The sequence below is a fragment of the Homo sapiens genome, chromosome 17 (assembly GCF_000001405.40).
Source record: "Homo sapiens chromosome 17, GRCh38.p14 Primary Assembly".
In the NCBI taxonomy this organism is placed as follows: Eukaryota; Metazoa; Chordata; class Mammalia; order Primates; family Hominidae; genus Homo; species Homo sapiens.
The window spans coordinates 30,025,574-30,047,473 of NC_000017.11; the positions used below are offsets into that span (position 1 = coordinate 30,025,574).

The 21,900-nt window shown below is 38.6% G+C and overlaps 1 protein-coding gene across 16 annotated transcripts in view, besides 1 other annotated feature; it reads left to right on the forward strand.

Moving 5' to 3' along the window:
- Positions 1-21,900, forward strand: part of EFCAB5 (EF-hand calcium binding domain 5) — a 178,550-nt gene that overhangs the window by 95,671 nt on the left and 60,979 nt on the right. For all 16 annotated transcript variants that reach the window (NR_026738.2, XM_024450742.1, XM_024450743.1 and 13 more), the window contains one exon: positions 8,657-8,812. Coding sequence is in view for 15 of the 16 variants with exons in the window: in XM_024450742.1 (XP_024306510.1) it covers positions 8,657-8,812 (156 nt within the window). In the remaining variant the exon portion in view is untranslated. The remainder of the gene's footprint in view (positions 1-8,656; positions 8,813-21,900) is intronic.
- Positions 14,757-15,956: an enhancer, noted in NCBI's record as "MED14-independent group 3 enhancer chr17:28367348-28368547 (GRCh37/hg19 assembly coordinates)". NCBI's record gives its function as "activates an origin of replication core promoter dependent on BRD2, BRD4, P300/CBP and CDK7 cofactors, and independent of MED14, by STARR-seq in HCT116 cells {active_cell/tissue: HCT116}" and the evidence as "EXISTENCE:reporter gene assay evidence [ECO:0000049][PMID:35650434]".

Consider the following 21,900-nt stretch of genomic DNA (forward strand, 5'->3'; position numbering starts at 1 on the left):
CTGTAAACTAGTTCAACCATTGTGAAAGTCAGTGTGGCGATTCCTCAGGGATCTAGAACTAGAAATACCACTTGACCCAGCCATCCCATTACTGGGTATATACCCAAAGGACTATAAATCATGCTGCTATAAAGACACATGCACATGTGTGTTTATTGTGGCACTATTCACAATACCAAAGACTTGGAACCAACCCAAATGTCCAACAATGATAGACTGGATTAAGAAAATGTGGCACATATACACCATGGAATACTATGCAGCCATAAAAAATGATGAGTTCACGTCCTTTGTAGGGACATGGATGAAATTGGAAATCATCATTCTCAGTAAACTATCGCAAGGACAAAAAACCAAACACCACATGTTCTCACTCATAGATGGGAACTGAACAATGAGAACACATGGACACAGGAAGGGGAACATCACACTCTGGGGATTGTTGTGGGGTGGGCGGAGGGGGGAGGGATAGCATTAGGAGATATACCTAATGCTAAATGACGAGTTAATGGGTGCAGCACACCAGCATGGCACATGTATACATATGTAACTAACCTGCACATTGTGCACATGTACCCTAAAACTTAAAGTATAATAATAATAAAAAATAAATAAATAAATAAATAAATAATCAGAACACTTTGATCCCCAAAAGACAACTCATTCCAAGAGACAAAACTTAACAATTTGTATCACTTTTAACACTGGTGCCGAGTTCCCTATACAAGTTTGAAAAGACATAGAAGTCTTATCCCTTAGACTTCAGTGGACTTCCATTAGAAAAACAAGCTGCATTGTCTTGTGTTCAGGCCAAGAGTATGCAGGTGTTGTTAGGCAGATCCTTTCTGAAATTCCCATCATTTAATCTGACAGAGGATCTACTCTTTCATTTCATTATCTAGTTGGTTAATTTGTTTACCAGCAAAAGAAAACCACTATAAAAGTATATTTGTTTTATTCAAACGTCATTAATGTAGTTATTAAAAATTTAATTAACTTTTTAGGTAGGAGAGTTCTCTTTTATTTCCAGGACTTTTTTAGTTGTACATGTTCCTCTCATTTTATTGTTCTAACAAGGTCCATACAGAATTCTCTTGGTTTCACCTTCCCATCCTTGATGATAAGAATATTGCTTTCCTTCTAGTATAGAGAGGGCATATTTCTTTTGTGTTTTAATTTTTTTGTAGAAATGGGATCTTGCTATGTTGCCCAGGCTGGTCTCAAACTCCTGACCTCAAGTGATCCTCCTACTTCAGTCTCCCAGAGTTCTGGGATTTCAGGTGTGAACCGCTATGCCCAGCAGGGGGCATCTTTCACAAGAAAATTTCATCTTCTGCTTTTAAAAGACAAAAGGAGGTCAGAATGATTTCCTTGTACCTCCTTGTACCTTTTTTTTTTTTTTTTTTTTTTTTTTTTTTTTTTTTTTTTTTTGAGATGGAGTCTCGCTCTGTCGCCCAGGCTGGAGTGCAGTGGCGCAATCTCAGCTCACTGCAAGCTCTGCCTCCCAGGTTCATGCCTTTCTCCTGCCTCAGCCTCCCAAGTAGTTGGGACTACAGGCGCTTGCCACCAGGCCTGGCTAATTTTTGTATTTTTAGTAGAGACAGGGTTTCACCGTGTTAGCCAGGATGGTCTCAATCTCCTGACCTCGTGATTTGCCCACCTCGGACTCCCAAAGTGCTGGCATTACAGGCGTGAGCCACCATGCCCAGCCACACCAGTCTTTTTTTTTTTTTTTTTTTTTTTTTTAGGCACTTTTAGCTCAGAATAATTCTTATGGCAAAGTAGCATATTTGGGGGTGGCATATTCTGAACTTCTTCACATGTATACCACAGAATATGAACTCTCTTTATACTTTATTAGGTGTGGTTGTCCCAATGGAATGATGACAGAAAGATGCTGCAGACACAGCTAAAGGCTGTGACGTTTCTTTTATGGCAAAGGATACAGATATAGACAGTTTGTTATGTAAAGCAGGATATGATACAGCATACGTCCAAACAGAAGTCTCCCAAAGGTCTCCACAGGGATTATACCATCGGCATGCATCGAGGTATAGGGTGTCAAGCCATCCTGGCTTGCCTGGGACTGAGGAGTTTTCTGGAACATGAAACTTTCTGTGTTAAAACCAGGTTTTTGGTTCCAGGCAAAGTGAGGCACTTGGTCACTCGATTTGAGGAGTTTACTTGGCTATACTTACATGCTGTCCAGACCTTACTGCCCACCTGATTATTGTGGCGACTCTAGCCCCACGTCTTCCTGCTTACCAGGGGCAAGTGAAAACACCCAATACATTCTTCTTTACTATGAGACTATATAAAGCAAAGGTCAGTTTCCCAGGTGCATTCTTCAGTAGACCTGGGCCTCAAGCAGTCTGAGGTCCACTCCTGAATCATATAATGGGTTTAAGAATAATTATATGCAAAACTACAAATACTAGAAAGTATGGGATTCAGATATTGACTTTTGATTCTGCTACACGGAGGAACTGTTGTATCCCTTAGCCAGGAGGAATAAGGGCCATGCCTCTGCCTGGATTCTCTTTTTTGGGACCCATTCTGTTCTTGCTCAGTGGTGGTCCACTCTGAGATGGTCACTTCCTTATGGGATTGTTTAATATCAGTCATACAATCTGAGGCCTTCAAACTGATGTGGCTCCAAGTTTAAATTTTAAAGAGAAAGGCTTCGTCAACTGTACCCAAAGATTCTGTCTTTCCTTTAATATACTCTAATAAATCCAGGCTGTGCATTTTTCTTACAATGATATTTATCTGAATGGCTTTCTATTCTGTCTCTAGTTCATCTGTATCTTGTATTTTTTGCTTGTTTTGCTCATTTTGTTTTTTATGTGCTTTGAGCTGTAGCATGGAAAGACAGAAAAAATAATCACAGCTTTTGGCGAGGTTGAGGCAAGTATGTTGTGAAAATATATGAGAAAAACTTGGGGAGAAATGAGAGAATTTTAAGCCGGGAAAATAGGTGAACTACCCTCCAATTGGATGTGTCTCTTCCTAGGCAGTCTTCAACTATGGGAAACATAAATCAAGGACCTGCCTGATCAACAAATCCTTATTGGCTGTATTAGTTTGCTAGTGCTGCCATACCAAAGTACCACAGATTGAGAGGTTTAAACAACCGAAATTTAATTCCTCACAACTGTGGAAGTTAGAAGGCTGAGACAAGGTGTTGGCAGGGTTGGTTTCTTCTGAGGGCCTCTCTCATTGGCTTGTAGATGGCTGATTTTTGCCCTTGTCTTCATAGTCTGTACACTCTGTACATGTCTTTAAGTCCAAATTTCCTCTTCTTTAAGAACACTAGTCAGATTAGAGCCCACCCTATTGACCTCATTTTAATTTAATTACCTCTTTAAAGACCCTATCTCCAAATACAGTTATATTTTGAGATACCGAGGGTTAGGCTGTCAACATATTAATTTTAGGGAGTAAAACTTAGCTTATAACATTACCTAAGCTATCGTTCACCATCAGAGGCACATTTTTAATTTGTCATTTTTATTATTACTAGATAATAAATGTGGCCTTTGTTCAATTCATTTGTTAAGCAAAGTTTTGAAAAATCAGAAGAGTTAAAAGTATGTTACTACTTTGTTAAGTACAGATGCTCTTTGACTTATGATGGGATTACATCCTGGTAAATTCATTGTACGTTGAAAATATCTAAGTAAAAAATGCATTTAATTCATCTAACCTACTGAACATCACAGTTTAGCCTAGCCCATCTTAAATGTGCTCAGAACACTTATATTAGCCTACAGTCGCAAAATCATCTAACAAAAAGCTTATTTTATAATGAGGTGTTGAGTAGCTCATGTAATTTATTAAATATTATACTGAAAGTGAAAAACAGAATTGTTGTATAGGTACTTCAAAGTACTGAATGCATATCACTTTTGTGTCATCATAAAGTGGAAAAATTGTTAAATTGAACCATCATAAGTCAGGGGCTGTCTGTATATAATTAGCACTAATCTTTTTTTTTTTTTTTAAAGTTTCCTCCCTAAAACTGGAAAGCTAATTTTCTGCCCACAGGCTATAGGAACACACCATTTCTTCAGTGATAGATAACAAATATAACCTGAGTACTTCAATATTCTGTACTCCTTGTTTGCACTCCTCGTATACTACCAGGGCTTACAAATACCGTTTGGAAGTTAATACCTAAGATAGATAGTTTCCAAACATAGTTTTCTTTCTATTGCTCTTATATCACCCACTTCATCAACTCTTCAGTATGTCTACAATTAAATAAGTATGAATCCCACTGGCCCAGAGCTATAGAATCTTATAATAGCTATTAAATGTGATATTTACCACATTCTCAGCATTAAGTCAGAAAGGAAAATCCCAGAATTCATTACATTGGGACTTAGCACATAGAGATAACTTGACTAAGTACAGTTCAAATGTTTAACATCTCACAGAGATATTAACTGAAAGGTATTGGTAATTATATTCTTAAATTAAGCAATCTTTCCTTGGAAAGGTATGAAAACACAAAGGCTCCCATCGATTTTCACCTTTTTCTGTTTTTACAAGAGACATTGGCAAACTTCTGTAATTATCTGGAATTTGATTTGTAGTTGATATCGCCAACTGTTAGTCTTTATGCCAGCTAGCCTAAACTTACAGAACAATCAGAATATGCTAACTCAGAAAACCGACAGACTATAGCTCCAGAATATTTTTTTTTTCCATCAGAACTTTCAGGGATGAAAAATCCAGAAGTGTCTCTCAGAAAAAGGTTTGTTTGTTTGTTTGTTTGTTTTGAGACGGAGTCTCGCTCGCTCTGTTGCCCAGGCTGGAGTGAGATGGTGCAATCTCGGCTCATTGCAACCTCTGCCTCCCGGGTTCAAGCAATTCTCCTGCCTCAGCCTCCTAAGTAGCTGGGATTACAGGCACCCACCATTATGCCTGGCTAATTTTTTATTTTTAGTAGAGATGAGGTTTCACCATGTTGGCCAGGATGGTCTTGAACTCCTGACTTCAGGTGATCCGCCCACCTCGGCCTCCCAAGTGCTGGGATTACAGGCGTAAGCCACTGCGCCCAGCCCAGAGAAAGGTTTTTTAACTAATTCTTTTTTTTTTTTTTGAAACAGGGTCCCGCTCTGTTGCCTGGGCTGGAGTGATGTGATCATAGCTCACTGAAACCTTGAACTACTGGGTTCAAGTGATCCTCCCACCTCAGCCTCCTGAGTGGGACTACAAGCGTGCACCACCACTCTTGGCTAAATTTTTAAATCTTTTGTAGAGATGAGGTCTTCCTATGTTGCTCAGGCTGGCCTCAAGCTCTTGGCCTCAAGTGATCCTCCTGCCTAAACCTTTTAAAACTAATTATTGATTCAATAGCATTCCCACAGCCAGAAAGCTCATATGGCTTTGAAGTCAATTCCCAAACACTTAATTTAAAATTGGTGTTCTTCCAAATACCAATTTTTTTTTCAGCATTAGAGGATTGAGCTACATTGTTGCCAGAAAAGGTCAATTATTCAATAATTCTGACTTATGAGTAATATAGAAAAATACCTACTAGTCAAGTAAAAAGTCATTAAGGATCAAACAACAGGATCTTAGGATACGGGACTAATCAGGACCAGATACCCCAGATCATGTAGTTCAGTGGTTCTCAAACTTTAACAAGCATCAGAATCACCAGGGAGGCTTGTTAAACTATAGATTATTGGGCCCTACTCCCAGAATTTCTGATTCAGTAAATATGGGGTGGGGCCTAAAAATTTGCAGTTCTGACAAGTTCTCAGATGATGCTGATGCTGTTGGTCTAGGGATCACACTTTGAGAACCGCTGATCTTGTTGGGTTTTCTCCTTCTAAAGTTGTTTATCAGCTAAGAGGACTGTTTATTTAATGAAGAAGATGTTCTTGGCCAATTTGTTACCTACCTCAAGAGTAGACAAACACAATGGCTGAAGAGAACTTACTACGTGAAACACCCAGATCGTACATACCATAACTCAGTGAGGTAACTACTACTGTGATACCCATTTCACAAATGAACGGATATGAGAACAGGGAGTTGAGCCCAGACAGGCTTCAGAGTGAGTTCTTAACCACTTCCACTACTCTGCTTGTTCCCATGGTAACAGCTAAGAACTTAACTGTGTGCATTGATCCATCAAGAATAATGATAATGATGCTGGGTACAGTGGCTCATGCCTGTAATTTCAGTACTTTGAGAGGCTGAAGCAGGAAGATGACCTGAGCCCAGGAGTTTGAGACCAGTTTGGGCAACATAGTGAGACCCTATCTCTACACACACACATTTTTTTTTTTAATTAGCCAGGTGTGGTGGCTCGTACCTGTAGTCCCAGCAACTCAGGAGGCTGAGGTAGGAGGATCACTTGAGTCTTGTGACCAAGGCTGCAGTGAGCCATGATTGTGCCACTGCACCATTGCACTCCAGCTTGGGCAACAGAGTGAGACCCTGTCTCTAAAAAAATAAAAATAAAAATTATATGTCAATGAAATATGCCAAAAACATGTTCCATTTTAAACAAATTACTAAAGTGGAACATGATTTTTACAAACCATGTTAAATACATGCTAATTACAAGAACCAGAAACCAACCTGAGCTGAATATGTACAACTGAATATGAAATGTGCACAATCCAAGGGCTTCAGGAAGAGACTAGAACAAGGACTTGGAAAGTGTTAAGACTGTTTCTCTCTGCTTTGCATTTCATCTGTTTCTCTCCATAACAGACTTTCCCGGCAGTCTCAGTTCACATGGAGGAATCTGGCCACCCCAAAACTCTTAAATTTACATTTGAAGGGTGGCAAAATATGCTACCCCGAAACATTCCACTTTGGCATAAGGATTACTTTCAGCTAAAGGCACTTGAAAAATAGATACAAGAAGGGCATTCTAATCTCTTTTTCTTCTGGAGAATAGGAAGTTAAAATCTCCCATGTAAAAGATGTCCTCCCTGTATCAGGAGAAAGGAAACATTATTCAACTGGGAGTCTTAGCTGAGAGAATTCTGTACAAACAGACCTTGTTAAAATAATTATTATCTTCCTTTTAGTTTCCCAACATAATTTAGTTACTTTTCCACAATTGCCTCTCTTTGTTCAACTCAATATATTAATAAAAGCATGTAGTTTTTGCCATTTCTTTGGATCTTCATTTCTTTATGACAGCTCCTATGTCACATAAAATTTATATTAAATCTTTATTCCTTTCTCCTGCTAACCTATCTTATGTCAATTTAATTCTCAGGCCCAGCCAAAGACCCTAAGAGAGTAGAGGTAAAATTTTGCCTCGACTACACATTCACAAATTCAGGCCCACTCAGATTAACTGGCTGTTACTCAGTTCTAATCCCCAATTCCTAGTGGAGAGAATCTGAATGGCCTTAAGTGTTCCCCCTGGTTCAATCATTTATGGCTATGGAAGTGGGATCATGCAGTGTAACTTTGGCTACCTCTGTGCGTGAGGCAGGGGAGGAAATCATCGGCTGTGAGCTGAGCTCACACTTTTTTTTTTTTTTGAGACGGAGTCTCGCACTCTCGCCCAGGCTGGAGTGCAGTGGCGCCATCTCGGCTCACTGCAAGCTCCGCCTCTCGGGTTCACGCCATTCTCCTGCCTCAGCTTCCCGAGTAGCTGGGACTGCAGGCGCCCGCCACCACGCCCGGCTAATTTTTTGTATTTTTAGTAGAGATGGGGTTTCACCGTGTTAGCCAGGATGGTCTCGATCTCCTGACCTTGTGATCCGCCCGCCTCGGCCTCCCAAAGTGCTGGGATTACAGGCGTGAGCCACCGTGCCCGGCCGAGCTCACACTTTAAAAGGAGTGCACTCAGAAACTCTTGCAGTGCTTGATCACTTCTCTCTATCACAGGATACCTTCTATCTCTTAAAGTGTAGACCAAGAATGTAATTCGTTCCTGACCTATCAAATTGGCAAAAACCCAGATGCCAATATACACTGATGGTGAGGCTGAGAAGAAATAATCACTCATGCATTAGTCATAGGAGTGCAAAAGTGGGCAAGCCCCATGTCAAACCTACAAAATATTCAGGTGCATTAATCCTCTAAGCTAGAAATTCCACTTCTGGGAATCTACTCAACAGGGATCAAGAGAAATGGCCGAAGAGTATAGACGTTTTCAGTCCCTATACTTTAAAAGAAGATCATAGACAAAGGATATCTTATTGCAATATCAAAAAACAAAAAGCCACCCATGATCCTTGTCGCTTACACTCCAGTAATTAAATGCAGCCAGTCTTGCAATACACATGCTTTTATATACCATATACCATAGAAAAACTGCATTCAATTTTTAGGACTTTTAATTTGCAGGTAGCATTTTACAGGCAACTACTGCTATTTCATACTGTGAGGAAAGTCTGCCCTATATAATGTTGATGTGATATAGAGGGAAATTGCTCCAAAAATATCTAGTCCCACTGATGTGTGGTATTGGGGACTGCATTAGTTACCTCTCTCTGCATCACAGCTTTTACAGCAGCTAGCATGAAAATGCTTCATCTAAGTGATAAGCAAATCATATGGAAACATTTTACAGCCAATGTATTTCATGCACATTGGTTGAATCCTGGGGAAAATCCAAGTAGAGCATGGTTTTAAGTCAATCGTTTATCCTCTTTTTTTTCCCCTGTAGTACATCTCTTCACATATTAAAGACTTGAAGAGTGAAATGTTTGAGGAACTTCTTAAGCACCTTTGCCACTCTGCAGATGAATTTCGGGAGGTCATAAAAGCTGACATGCGGAGGCAGATGTTCGCTGAACTCTTCCTACATTGTGACCACGGGAAGGTGGGTTAAGACATTTAAATAATTGCTTCTTGGCCAGACACTGTGGCTCACGCCTGTAATCCCAGCACTTTAGGAGGCTGAGGCTGGTGGATTACTTGAGCCCAGGAGTTTGAGACCAGCCTGGACAACATGGTGAAACCCCATATCTACAAAATAGATACAAACTTTACTGAAATATATTTGTTTATGAACCTTATATTTATTTGTTTGTATCTCCATGTCCAGAAAGAATTTAAGTAAGCCTGCAAGAATAGATAAGATGCAAAAACAAAATGTAAACTAAAAGTAGGATGAAAGAAGAAAAAAATAAGAGAGGGGATAGTAAATGAAGCTGGGAACAAAGCCCCAAAATGCATAACATAATGACCTAAATAGTCATTGTGGGTTGTTTACAAGCTTGGATCTGAGCTTCCTAGCAGTGAATGTGAAAAGGGAAACATGACCAAACACACTATTAACAATGTTTATAAGATAATTACAAACAAGTGCTAAGAAGCACAGAAATTTGGGGTTCAAATTATAGTTAGGAGCTTCTCTTTATAAAGGGGCCCTTATGTGCTGAAGTCAAAATCTTTCATGATGGGCTTGTAATAAATTAAACAATGACTTTTTTAGGGCAGTTTCTTATAGTTACTTCAAATGTAGGCAAACGATGCCACACTGGACTGCAATTCAGAAAAAGCAATTCTTAAAAGAACCGATATATTGCAATCTAGGTTCTTAGATTCCTGCTAATTTAAATGAAGTCAGGAATATATTTTATAAAATCTGAAATGTCTATGTGTCTTTCAGTTAATCCTTATTGAATATTGCTTCTTTTAACAGAGCTTGTAATAAATATTGAGTGACAAGTGTCAAAGTTTTACTCCCTGGTAAAATGCCTGAAGGACAACTATTCTCTGTTGGCCAATTTAACACCAATTCGTGTGCTGTAACAAACATAGTGGGATAATATTTAGAGCAATTAATTGAGGTTTGCTTTCATTCTTTGCTTTTCTTCCCATCATTCAAGCAGTAGTTATATGCTGATATTGAAAGTGCAGGGGCAGAAAAACTACACTTCCATCCTCGTAGGATTCCTGCTGGGTCTGAGCATTAAACTGACAGAAGATAGAATAACAGGAGAAAACCATACAAATTTAGTTACAAGTTTTATATGGCACAGGAGTCCTCTTAAGGAAATGAAGACCCAAAGAAGCAGTTAGAGCCAGTTACTTATGTACTGGATTGGACAAAGAACAGTAAACCGTGAAAATGTGATTAAATTATGTGGGGAGTCTTATAAGAGTTATTCTAACAAGGTCTGTACAGTATTCTGTTGGTCTCAACTTCTCATCCTTGAAGATAACAATTATGCCTTTCCTTATAGTATAGGGAGAGTTACTTTCACAGGGGAATTTCATCTTCTGCTTTGAAGAAACAGCACGAAGGTCAAGTGATCTTCTCATATCTGTTGCTTTTCAAGTATCTTTAACTTAGTCAATATGCCAGAATAGCATATTTTAACCCCTTCAGAGGAAAGATAGAGTCTCAAAAAAAGAAGTTAGATGAGTTTCTGAATGGAATATATATCTGGGAACAAAGCCCCAAAATGCATAACATAATGACTATGTATATGTCTTATACACACACATGCATATATATAACTATATATTTGTATATATTTTATATATAACCATATATTTATATATATTTTATATATAACCATATATTTATACATATTTAATATATAAATATATATGAGGCACTCTATATATAATATATAATATATTATTATATATAATATAATATATGTATGTATAAATATATCTTATAATATATATGTATATTATATATGCATATATAATGTATGTATATATAAATATAGAATATACATATATAATATATAATTATATATAATACACATATATAATATATAATTATATATAATACACATATATAATATATAATTATATATAATACACATATATAATATATAATTATATATAATACACATATATAATATATAATTATATATATAATATTAGAGAGAGAGAGAGAGAGAGGGAGATTGCACCTGTGAGAGACAGAGCCTCACTCTATCACCCAGGCTAGAATGCAGCGGCATCATCATACCTCACTACAGCCTCTACCTTCTGGGTTCAAGTAATCCCCCAACCTCAGCCTCCCAAATAGCTAAGACTACAGGCATGTACCACCATGCCTGGCTAATTTTTAAATTTTTTAGAAACAGAGTCCCACTATGTTGCCCAGGCTGTTCTTGATCTCCCAGCTCTAGAGATCTTCCCACCTTGGCCTCCCAAAGCCCTGGGATTACAGGCGTGAGCCACCACATCCAGCCTCGAATGTATCTTTTTAACCAGCAGCTGAGACAAAAGTTCTAAAAGCCCAGACTTTAAATGGAAAATGCTGGGCTCTTAAGAAATAATGGAGAATCATAAAGTAAAGAAGAATGCAAAATATGGCATCAAAGCAGTTATTCTATCAATGGGAAATTGTGACCAGCTGAAGAGAGAAGGAGGTTGGAGTGTGTGTGACTAGAATTTAAAGGTTGTCTGGGTCCCTAAGTCAGAGTTAGCACCTGATCTCCCATTCCTGAGCTCCAATCATGGTTGGAGATTGAGGGCAACATTATTGATACCCCTGGAAATTCCAGGTAGGTTGAGAGGAAATTTAAGAACAGCAGGCACTTACACTTCATTTTCTAGGTGTAGCTCAGAGACTACAAGCTTCATAGAGAAGTGCTAAATCCAACATGGCACTAAAGAGAAAGAGTAGCAGCTATAGAAGGTAGGGTGTAGGTAGATGGGCCTGAAGATACTCCCTTTCACTCCTGTGGCCAGAGGAAAGATGATGAGTATTCCTAAATACCTGTGTGTAAAGGACAGTCGGTGTGCAGAGATGATGACTGTGAAAGTTCTGGGAGTACCCCCAAGAAGACACCTGGGTTAGGACAAGGATAACTATGGACATAAATAGCAAATACCAAAATAAAACTTCCAAATGACTCAATGAGATGAAGTACATACACCACAGTCACAGTCAACAAGTACTGTGGCTGGCATTGAGCTAGACTCTCCTTTCTCTGATGGCAGGACTCTATATAAGCACCCCCACCCCCCAAAATATGGGCGAAAGATATGAACACACAATTCATGGAATCACTATATACTCAATAGGTGACCAAAAATAGTTTTTAATGATAATACCTATCACTGATATGAATAGAAGAAAAACATTTCTCAAACATTCCTGGTGAAAATTTAATAGTTGTATCTTTGCAAAGCATTCTGGATATATCTACTTAAATGAAAAATGCATACGTGCTTCAGCCAGGCAAGCCATTCCTGAAATTTTTATTCCATAGAAATAAAAGTATTAGTAAATTAAAAAATACACATGCAAAGAAAATTCTTGATGCATTGTTTATAAATGAAGAAAAAGAGAGAAGTTAATGAAATATTTACTATATAGGGGAATGCTTTAAGCATCCCTATTTCCTGAGATACAACAATATTAAAATTAGGCCAATTAATAACCCTAGAAAGGGTTATTAATTGTGTGCAAGTGAAAGGAAGAGTCACATATCTCTCACTTTAAATCAAAAGCTAGAAATGATTAATCTTAGTAAGGAAGGCATGTTGAAAGCCAAGAGGTGGCTGAAAGCTGGGCCCCTTGCTCCAGTTAGCCAAGTTGTGAATGCAAGGAAAAGTTCTTGAAGGAAATTAAGAGCACTACTCCCACAAAGACACAAGTCATAAGAAAGCAAACAGCCTTATTTCTGAGAGAAGTCAATGCCTGGCTTCAAAGCTTCAAAGGCCTAGCAGACTCTCTTCTTAGAGGCTAGTGCAGCTGGTGACTTTCAGTTGAAACCAGTGCTCATTGACCATTCCAAAAATCCTAGCCCTTAAGAATTATGCCAAATCTACTCTGCCTGTGCTCTATAAAGGAAACAGCAAAGCCTAGATAACAGTAGATATGTTTGTGGCATGGTTTACTGAATATTTTAATCACACTGTGGAGACCTACTGCTCAGAAAAAAAGATTCCTTTCAAAATATTACTGTTCATTGAGATGCGCCTGGTTAACCAAGAGCTCTGATGGAGATGTACAAGGAGATGAATGTTGTTTTCATTCCTAATAACACAATATCCGTTCTGCAGCCCATGGTCAAGGAGTCAGTCATTTTGACGTTCAAGTCTTGTTACTTAAGAAATACATTTCATAAGGCTATAGCTTCCATAGATAGTGATTCCTTTGATGGATCTGGGCAAAGCAAATTGAAAATCTTTTATAAATAATTCACCATTCTAGGTGCTCTTGCCACTGTTCCATCTGTGATTGAGCATCCTTTCTGCAGAAAGTAAAGATAGCCTTGCTGAGAGATCTTTTGTATCCATGCTGATTTTTCTTCTTGGCACCAATTATCTATTTCTAACAATTTTGGTATTTCTAACAATTTTGGTGGCCCATATGGGGATACATTCTCCTCTGGTGTTGGTCTCTGGTCCTTTCTCATGAGGAGGCGCCCCACCGCCTCTTGTGGTGGCCTCAGGGGTAAGGGACCGAGACCCACCTGGTGTGACGAATAAACCCAAACTCTCAGCAATGCAGAAAGAAACCAGCCAGCAACCTGGGGTAAAGGATCCTCACATACTGCGGTGCCGAGTCTGTGCACAGACCATACAAGGAGAAGCCGCAGGAGCCGTCTTTTAGCACAGCTACCACCCTTAGAATTTCCGGTAAACCAACACCATCCTGAGAACCACATCCTCACCAAAGGGTGGAAAGAAGGGAAACTCAAGCTAGCCTGGGAAGGACCCTACCTCGTGCTGCTAACCACCAAGTACGGTGGAAAGGGGATGGACACATCACACCCGAGTCAAGCAAGTGCCGTTATCATCAGAATCATGGGCCATTGTTCCTGGATCAAGCCCTACCAAATTAAAGCTAAGAAAAGCTTCATCTTTCCATCTTTTCCTTTCCTTTCCTTCCCTCTAACTATCCCTCATCTTGTCATCAGTGTAACCAAATCAGATTCACCACAGGTTATAACATTTGATGCTTGCCTTGTTATACCTTGTGGAGGTTTGCAAAGCCAGAGACAACTCTCTACTTCAGAAAAATACCTCTGCCACTCCAGGGAGACCACTGCCACCCCTGCATCTTGCTTGTGGTGGAGGTACCAAGATACCCCAAGTTGGAATTTATATGCTCAGTGGGTAGATGTCATCTGGATCAAGGCTGGACCTCCGAGGAGGGATGTGCCGACTTAAAGCCATACCTCCACCTTACTAAAGGGATTGCCCCTGCCCCAATTGTCAATCCCACCAGTGTAACCCAGTGCTTATATCCATTACTATTCCTACCACTAGCAACTCTAACCCCACTTTAGAGCGTTTCTATGGTTTAGGATCAGAGGTCACTGGAAAGGATCCTTCTTTAAGATGTGCTTTGTTCTCCCTTCTCCACCTCCTACAACTGCCCTTTTCCCAAATCTATGAAATCAAGCCACACCTCACCTCATGCCAAATGACAAAAGCAAAGTCTCAGTAGTAGAAATAGGAGACCTAAGGCAAACCAGTGCCACTGAAACAGGGTATAAAGATGTAAATGCTTGGTTAGAATGTATTAAATATTCCATTTGCACTTTAAGCAAAAGTGACTGTTATGCTTGTGTGCACAGTAGGCCAGAGGCCCAGGTTGTCCCCTTTCCACTAGGATGGTCCTCAAATCAAGTAGACATGGAGTGCATGGTAGCTCTTTCTCAAGATTCCACCGCCTGGAATAATGAATTGTGCCAAGCTCTTTCTCTGCTATTTCCTGAAGTTCAACATCCTGCAGGTCAGCCCCCAAGGGCCATCCAGCCTCCATCTTCCAAAACCAATTTTACCTCGTTTCTCCAATGACAAGGGGAAAAATTTGGCGTTCCTTGGAGACTTAACAGGATGCAGTGCAGTCAGGCACCTCCATGATCTGACCTATCAGTCCACCCTTATCCATCCCCAAGCAGTTGTATGGTGGTATTATGGAGAACCTTTACTGGACACTCTGCCAAATAATTAGAGTGGTACTTATGCTCTAGTTCAGATGGCTACCCTTTTTACCCTGGCATTTCATCAACCAGAAAAAGAAGAAAAAGTAGCCTCAATTCTTACCTCTTTAACAGCTATAGTAAGTATACTCCTTAGGTGCTATGTTGTACCATACATCCAGAAGTTAATCAAAACAACTAAGCCAACACATATTAAGTGAGTTTGAAGAGGAAACTATAAAGTGAAAGAGGAAGAAATTGTAGAAAGTAGAAAAGTTCCTCTTCAAAGCTTATCTTGGTTTAAAAATAAAATAATAGACACTAGGAATAATAGCTCCTTACTCTAAAGCCTCCTATCAACTATTAGTTCTTACAGTTTAGCCCAGTTAGTTGCTTTGGCTTACTCAGGCATGTCTGGACAGGTCCAGGCAGGTCTTAGCTCATAGCTTATGCCCCTTCCTTATTTGGAAATGTTTTTGCTTCCTTAAACCTTTCGTAAGCAACTTCCTCTCATTCTCTGTTCTTCCCTGCACTTACCTATTTAGGGAAGTTTTAGGCTATTAGCAAATCGGGTATCAGTTTAAGAGTGTGAAGTCCAGCTCCAGCCAATGGATGCAGGACCCAACAGTAAGGACGACCCAAATGTGTAAGGGATAAATATGTCGGCTTTTCCTTTGTTTAGGTGTTCTCTTGCCATTGTTCCATCTGTGATTGAGCACCCTTTCTGCAGAAAGTAAAGATTGCCTTACTGACAGATCGAAAGAAAGGAAGGAAGGAAGGAAGAAAGGAAAGAAGGAAGGAAGGAAGGAAGGAAATAATTCACCATTCTAGATGCCATTAAGAACATTTGTGATTCATGGGAGGAGGTCAAAATATCAACATTAACAGGAGTTTGAGAGATTTCAACTCTCATGGATGACTTTGAGAGCTTTAAGACTTCAGTAGACAAAATAGCTGCAGATATAGTGGAAATAGCAAGAAAACTAGAATTATAAATGGAGCCTGCAGATGTGACTGAATTGCTGTAATCTCATGATAAAACTTGAATGCATGACAAATTTTTTCTAATGGATAAGCAAAGAAAATAGTTTCTTGATATGGAATTTACCCCCGGTGAAGACATTAGCATTGTTGAAATGACAACAAAGGATTTAGATTATTACATAAACTTAGTTGATAAAGCAGCAAGTAGGGTTTGAAAGAATTGACTCCAATTTTGAAAGAAGTTCTACTGTAGATAAAATGCTATCAAACAGCATCACATGCTACAGAGAAATCCTTCATTAAAGGAAGAGTCAACAGATGCAGCAAACTTCATTGTTGTCTTATTTTAAGAAATTGCCACAGCACACACCCACCTTCAGCAACCACAACCCTAATCAGTCAGTAGCCAACAACATTAAGGTACAACCCTCCACCAGCAAAACAACTATGGCTTGCTGAAGGCACAGATGATCATTAGCATTTTTTAGCAATAAAGTGTTTTTAAATTCAGGTGTGTACTTTTTTTAGGCAATTAATCTATGGTACACTTAAGAGACTACAGTTTAAGCTATTGAGCACTTAATAGACTACAGTATAGTATAAACATAACTTTTTTTTTTTTTGAGATGGAGTATCGCTCTGTCTCCCAGGCTGGAGTGCAGTGGCGCAGTCTTGGCTCACTGCAACCTCTGCTGCCTAAGTTCAAGTGATTCTCCTGCCTTTGCCTCTGGAGTAGCTGGGATTACAGGCGCGCACCACCATGCCCAGCTAATTTTTGTATTTTTAATAGAGACGGGGTTTTGCCATGTTGGCCAGGCTGGTCTCGAACTCCTGACCTCAGGTGACCCAAGTGCCTCAGCCTCCCAAAGTGCTGGGATTACAGGTGTGAGCCACCACACCCAGCCATAAACATAGCTTTTATATGCACTAACAAACCAAAGCGAATTTGTGTGACTCACTTTATTGCAATATTCATTTTATTGCCATTGTCTGGAACTGGACCTCTGGTATCTCTAAGGAATGCCTGTCCTGATATCAGGAAAGAAAGTGGGAACATCATTACAGACCCAGCAAACATTAAAAGGATGATAGGAAACATTATGAACAACTTTATGCCAATGAATTTGCAAATTACATTAAATGGATAAATTCCTTAAAAGACACAAATTACCAAGTCTAACTCAAAAGAAAATAGGAAAACTAGATATCCTTATATGTATAAAGAAGTATAATTAATACCACTAAAAAAAAGTTCCACAAACAAAACCCCTGGCCCAGATAGCATTACTAATAAATTCTACCGAACATTTAAGGAAGGGATAATTTCAAATCTACATAAACTCTTTGAGAAAGAGAAGAGGAAGGAACACTTCCCAACTCATTTTATGGGGCCAGCATTATTTTGATATTAAATCCAGACAAAGATATTTCAATAAAAGAAAACCATACACTAACAATCCTCATGAACATAGACCCAAAAATCTTTAAGTTAATTTTAACAAATTGGTTAAGCAGTACATTAAAAAGATGATATATAAGGATCAAATAGAGCTTAATCCAGGGATACAAGGGTGGTTTAACATTCAAAAATCAGAGCTGAGCATGGTGGCACGTGCCTATAATCCAAGCTAAGGAGGAGATTGAGGTAAGAGGAGTGCTTGAGCCCAGGAGTTCGAATCCAGCCTGGGAAACATAGCAAGACCACCCCCATCTCTTAGAAAAAAAGCTATCAAAACAATTCATCACATTAAGAGACCAAAAAACAAAATCATATAGCTGTGACAAAATTCAACACTCATTTCTGATACAAAAATTTTTTAAAAAACCTCTCAACACACTAAAATTTCTTCAACCCAATAAAGCACATCTATGAACAACTTACAGCTATACTTACAATGGTAAAAAATTTAATGATTCCCTCCTTATAACAAGGACAAGGCAAGGATATCCACTCTCACCACTTTTATTTTACATTGTACTGGAGGTACTAGCCAATTAAATAAAGCAAGGAAAAAAAAAAGAAAACTCTGTATTCACAGACTACATGATCTTCTGTGTAGAAAATCCTAAGGAATCTCAAGAAAAAAGTTGAATTCACTAAAACAAATACATAAATTTAGCAAGGCTTCAGGATACAAAAATCAATACATGGAAGTCAATTGTATTTCTACATACTAGCAAAGAAATATTGGAAGATGAAATTTGTAAATGCCATTTACAATAACATCACACACGTGAAATACTTAGCAACACATTTAACAAAGTATTTGCAAATATCTACAGGCTGAAAACTATGAAATTTGCTAAGAAATGAAAGACCTAAATAATAAGAAAGATCCTTTATTGTTTCTGTCAAAGACTATATGAATGAATCAAAAAATTCAGTATTGTTAGTCCCCAAATTGACCTACAAATCCAACACAATTCCAATCCAAATCCCAGTGAACTTATTTACAGAAATTGACAAACTATTCTGAAATTTGTGTGGCATTTCAAAGGACTCACAACAGCCAAAACCATGTTGACAAAAAATAGACATCACCAAAATATAAAATTCTGCTCTTTGAAAGATACTAGTAAAAGAAATGAAATGACAGCTATAGACTGGGAGAAAATATTTATGATATATTTAATGACAAAAGACTTGCATTCGGACCATATAAAGACTCCTACAACTTTATAAAACAACCCAATTAAAAAAATAATGGGCATGCCAGAAAAGAAGATATAGGTATATCCAATAAGCACATCGAAATAGGTTCAATTATTCATCAGATTATAATTAATCTGATCAATTATTTATCAGATAAATAATCATCAATTTTTCATGCAAACTGAAGCCACAGTGAGATAAAAATTAAACCTACTGGAATGAATAAAATTAAAAAGACTGGGAGAGTACAGTGGCTCAAGCCTGTAATCTCAGCACTTTGGGAGGCCAAGGTGGGCAGATCAGTTCAGGCTGGGAGTTCAAGACCAGTTTGGCCAACATGGCAAAACCCTGTCTCTACTAAAAATACAAAAATTAGCTGGGCGTTGTGGCCATACCTGTAATCTCAGCTACTGGGTGGCTGAGGCACGAGAATCGCTTGAACCCGGGAGGTGGAGTTTGCAATGAGCCAAGATCACACCACTGCACTCCAGCCTGGGCAACAAAGCAAGACTCGATCTCACAAGAAAAAAAAAATCTGATATTCATTATAATTAAAAAGAAAAAAACACTGACAATACCAAGTGTTGGGAAAGATGTGGAAAAACTTAAATTCTCTTAGATTGCTGGTAGGAATGATACAACCACTTCAAAAACAGTTTGACAATTTCTTAAAGAGTTAAATATACACTTACTATATGACCTATCAATCAGCAATTTCTCTCCTAGATTATATACCTAAGAGAAATGAAATGAAAGAAATTACAACATATAATTAAAACTAAAAGACTTATACATGACTGTTCTTAGCAGCCTCATTCATAATAGCTTTAAGTTGGAGACAACCCAAATGTCCATCGACTTGTGGATGATAAGCAAATTGTAGTATATTCACACAATGGAATACTACTCAGTGATAAAAGACAATGAACCACTGATACAATACCACTGATGAATCTCAAAAATACTATGCTAAGTGAAAGAAGGCAGAACCAAAGGATGCGCCATTATTTTATTTATATGAAATTATAGAAAAAGGAAAAGTAATTTACAACAATAGAAAGCAGATCAGTGGTTTCCTGGGACCATGAGTGAGGGGACTGATTAAGAAGGGACATAAGTGGCCGGGCACGGTGGTTCACGCCTGTAATCCTAGCACTTTGGAGGCCAAGGCAGGTGGATTGCCTGAGCTTAGGAGTTCAAGACCAGTCTGGGCAACATGGCAAACACCCTTCTCTACTAAAAATACAAAAAATTAGCCAGGTATGGTGGCACGTGCCTGTAGTCCCAGTTACTCAGGAAGCTGAGGCAGGAAAATCGATTGAACCCGGGAGGCAGAGGTTGCAGTGAGCCAAGATCGTGCCACTAAACTCCAGCCTGGGCGACAGAGCTAGGCTCTGTCTCCAAAAAAAAAAAAAAAAAAAGAGACATAAGGGAGCTTCTGGGGATAATGAAAATGTTCTACAGCTTCACTGTGGTGGTAGTTACATGAGTGTATACATTGTCAAAACTCGTTGAACTATACACTTAAAATTGGTACATTTTATTGAATCTATACTTCACTAAAGTTGATTTAAAAAGACAAGAATGGACTGGGCACAGTGGCTCACACTTGTGAGGGCAATGTAGTGAGACCCCCTCTCTACAAAAAATAAACAAAAATTACCTGGGTATCGTGGTGCATGCCTGTAGTCCTATCTACTCAGGAGTCAGAGGCAAGAGCATCACTTGAAGCTAGGAGTTCAAGACCTGCCTGGGCAACATAGTGAGACCTGGTCTCTACAAAAATAAATAAATAAATAAATAAAATTAAAAATAAATAAATAAATAAATAAAAGTTAGCTGAGTGTAGTGGCATGGTACCTGTAGTCCCAGCTATTCAGGAGGCTGAGGCAGGAGGATAGCTTGAGCCCAGAAGTTAGAGGTTACAGTGAGCTATGATCATGCCACTACATTCTAGCCTGGGCAACAGTGTGAAACCTTGTCTCAAAGAAAACAAAAACAAAAATGAACAAACTAATCTATAATGATAAATATCAGAATAATCACCACCTTTGGAGGAATTATTGACTAAGAAATAGTAAGGGAGCCTTCTGGCAGTGATGAAAATGTGCTATGTCTTTATCTGAGTGGCAAACATTCAGTGAGCTAAACACTTAAGATTTGCATACCTCATTGCATATTTGTTGCTCCTTAATGAAAATTTTCTTAAAAATAATCACTTATGGTTGCTTGGGTTGAAGTGCCTATTAAAGAAAAAAGCTTTTGCTGCATTTGGCCATAATTACAATAGTGATGACCCCTGGGGTTATCAGTGGGTGGGCTTCATCTCACAGTATTAGAGAGGTTATAGAAAGTAAAAGACAAGCTCAGGACTTTAAACTCTCAGCTCAAATTGCAGTCAGAAAACCTGATCATTATATAGAAATCTCTATTTCTTGTAGCTTCAGGGCAGATACGGATGAAAAATCAGCCCCCAAATATAATGTGACAGAATCAAGATGTAAGTTGAATTCACAGACTTGCCAAGTCTTTTACATTAAAGTTAGCACATTGGAAAATAGATGAGACCCTGAAATTTGGAATAGTTACATTTGGGTGGACTCAGAGGAATCTGAGACTTGAGCCACAAATCTTCCCAAGCTTTCCTTGGCAGGAGAAGCAACCCCTTCTCTCCTGTCTGAGAATATTAGCTTTTCTTTCCTTAGAGATCCTTTAATAACTTCTCTTGGGGCATTTAGCTTGCAAGGAGGTGTCTATTTTCTTCAAGATCCACCTGTACAACATTCATTGCCTTTAAATCCAAAATTGGAGTCTGATCTTGGTATTGCTCCAGGAATACTAGTTCAAAGTCTGTCTTGAGAGATGAGTGTTGGTACTCCAAGAGATCAGTAAGTTTTTGCTAATTTCTAGCAGCAGAAAGCTGGGGAATATGTGTGGGAATTGATTATAGTACTTTCAGACTAAGAAGGATAGATATAACTTTGGATTGCCTCAAATTTATCAGTATTGCTATACTTTGCAGTATATACTTAGCAGTAACATTTTTGATATCTGGGAATAGTTTTAACAATTTTCTTGGTAGATTAAATAAAACCTTGACTCAAAGATAGCCTGCATTCAATGAGGTTGAGATGCCGGAATCTTCTTGGCTTACTATACAGTAAGAAATCTAAAGGCTTTCAAGATTTCTGAAATTGATTTTTCATATGTAGCCTCTATATGTGCACTTCTACCATATCGCCCAGGACAGCCCAAATGACATTCCCTTGAGAAATAACTAAAGAAATTAACGAGGGGAGCACCAATATCACTAAAAAGTTCTATGGTTGCTGTCCTGGGGATGATGGTGAGAGATACTGTCATTGAAGTAAACTCTCTAATTTCAAGGGAAATGATTGGCTTCTAGAGTGACAAAAG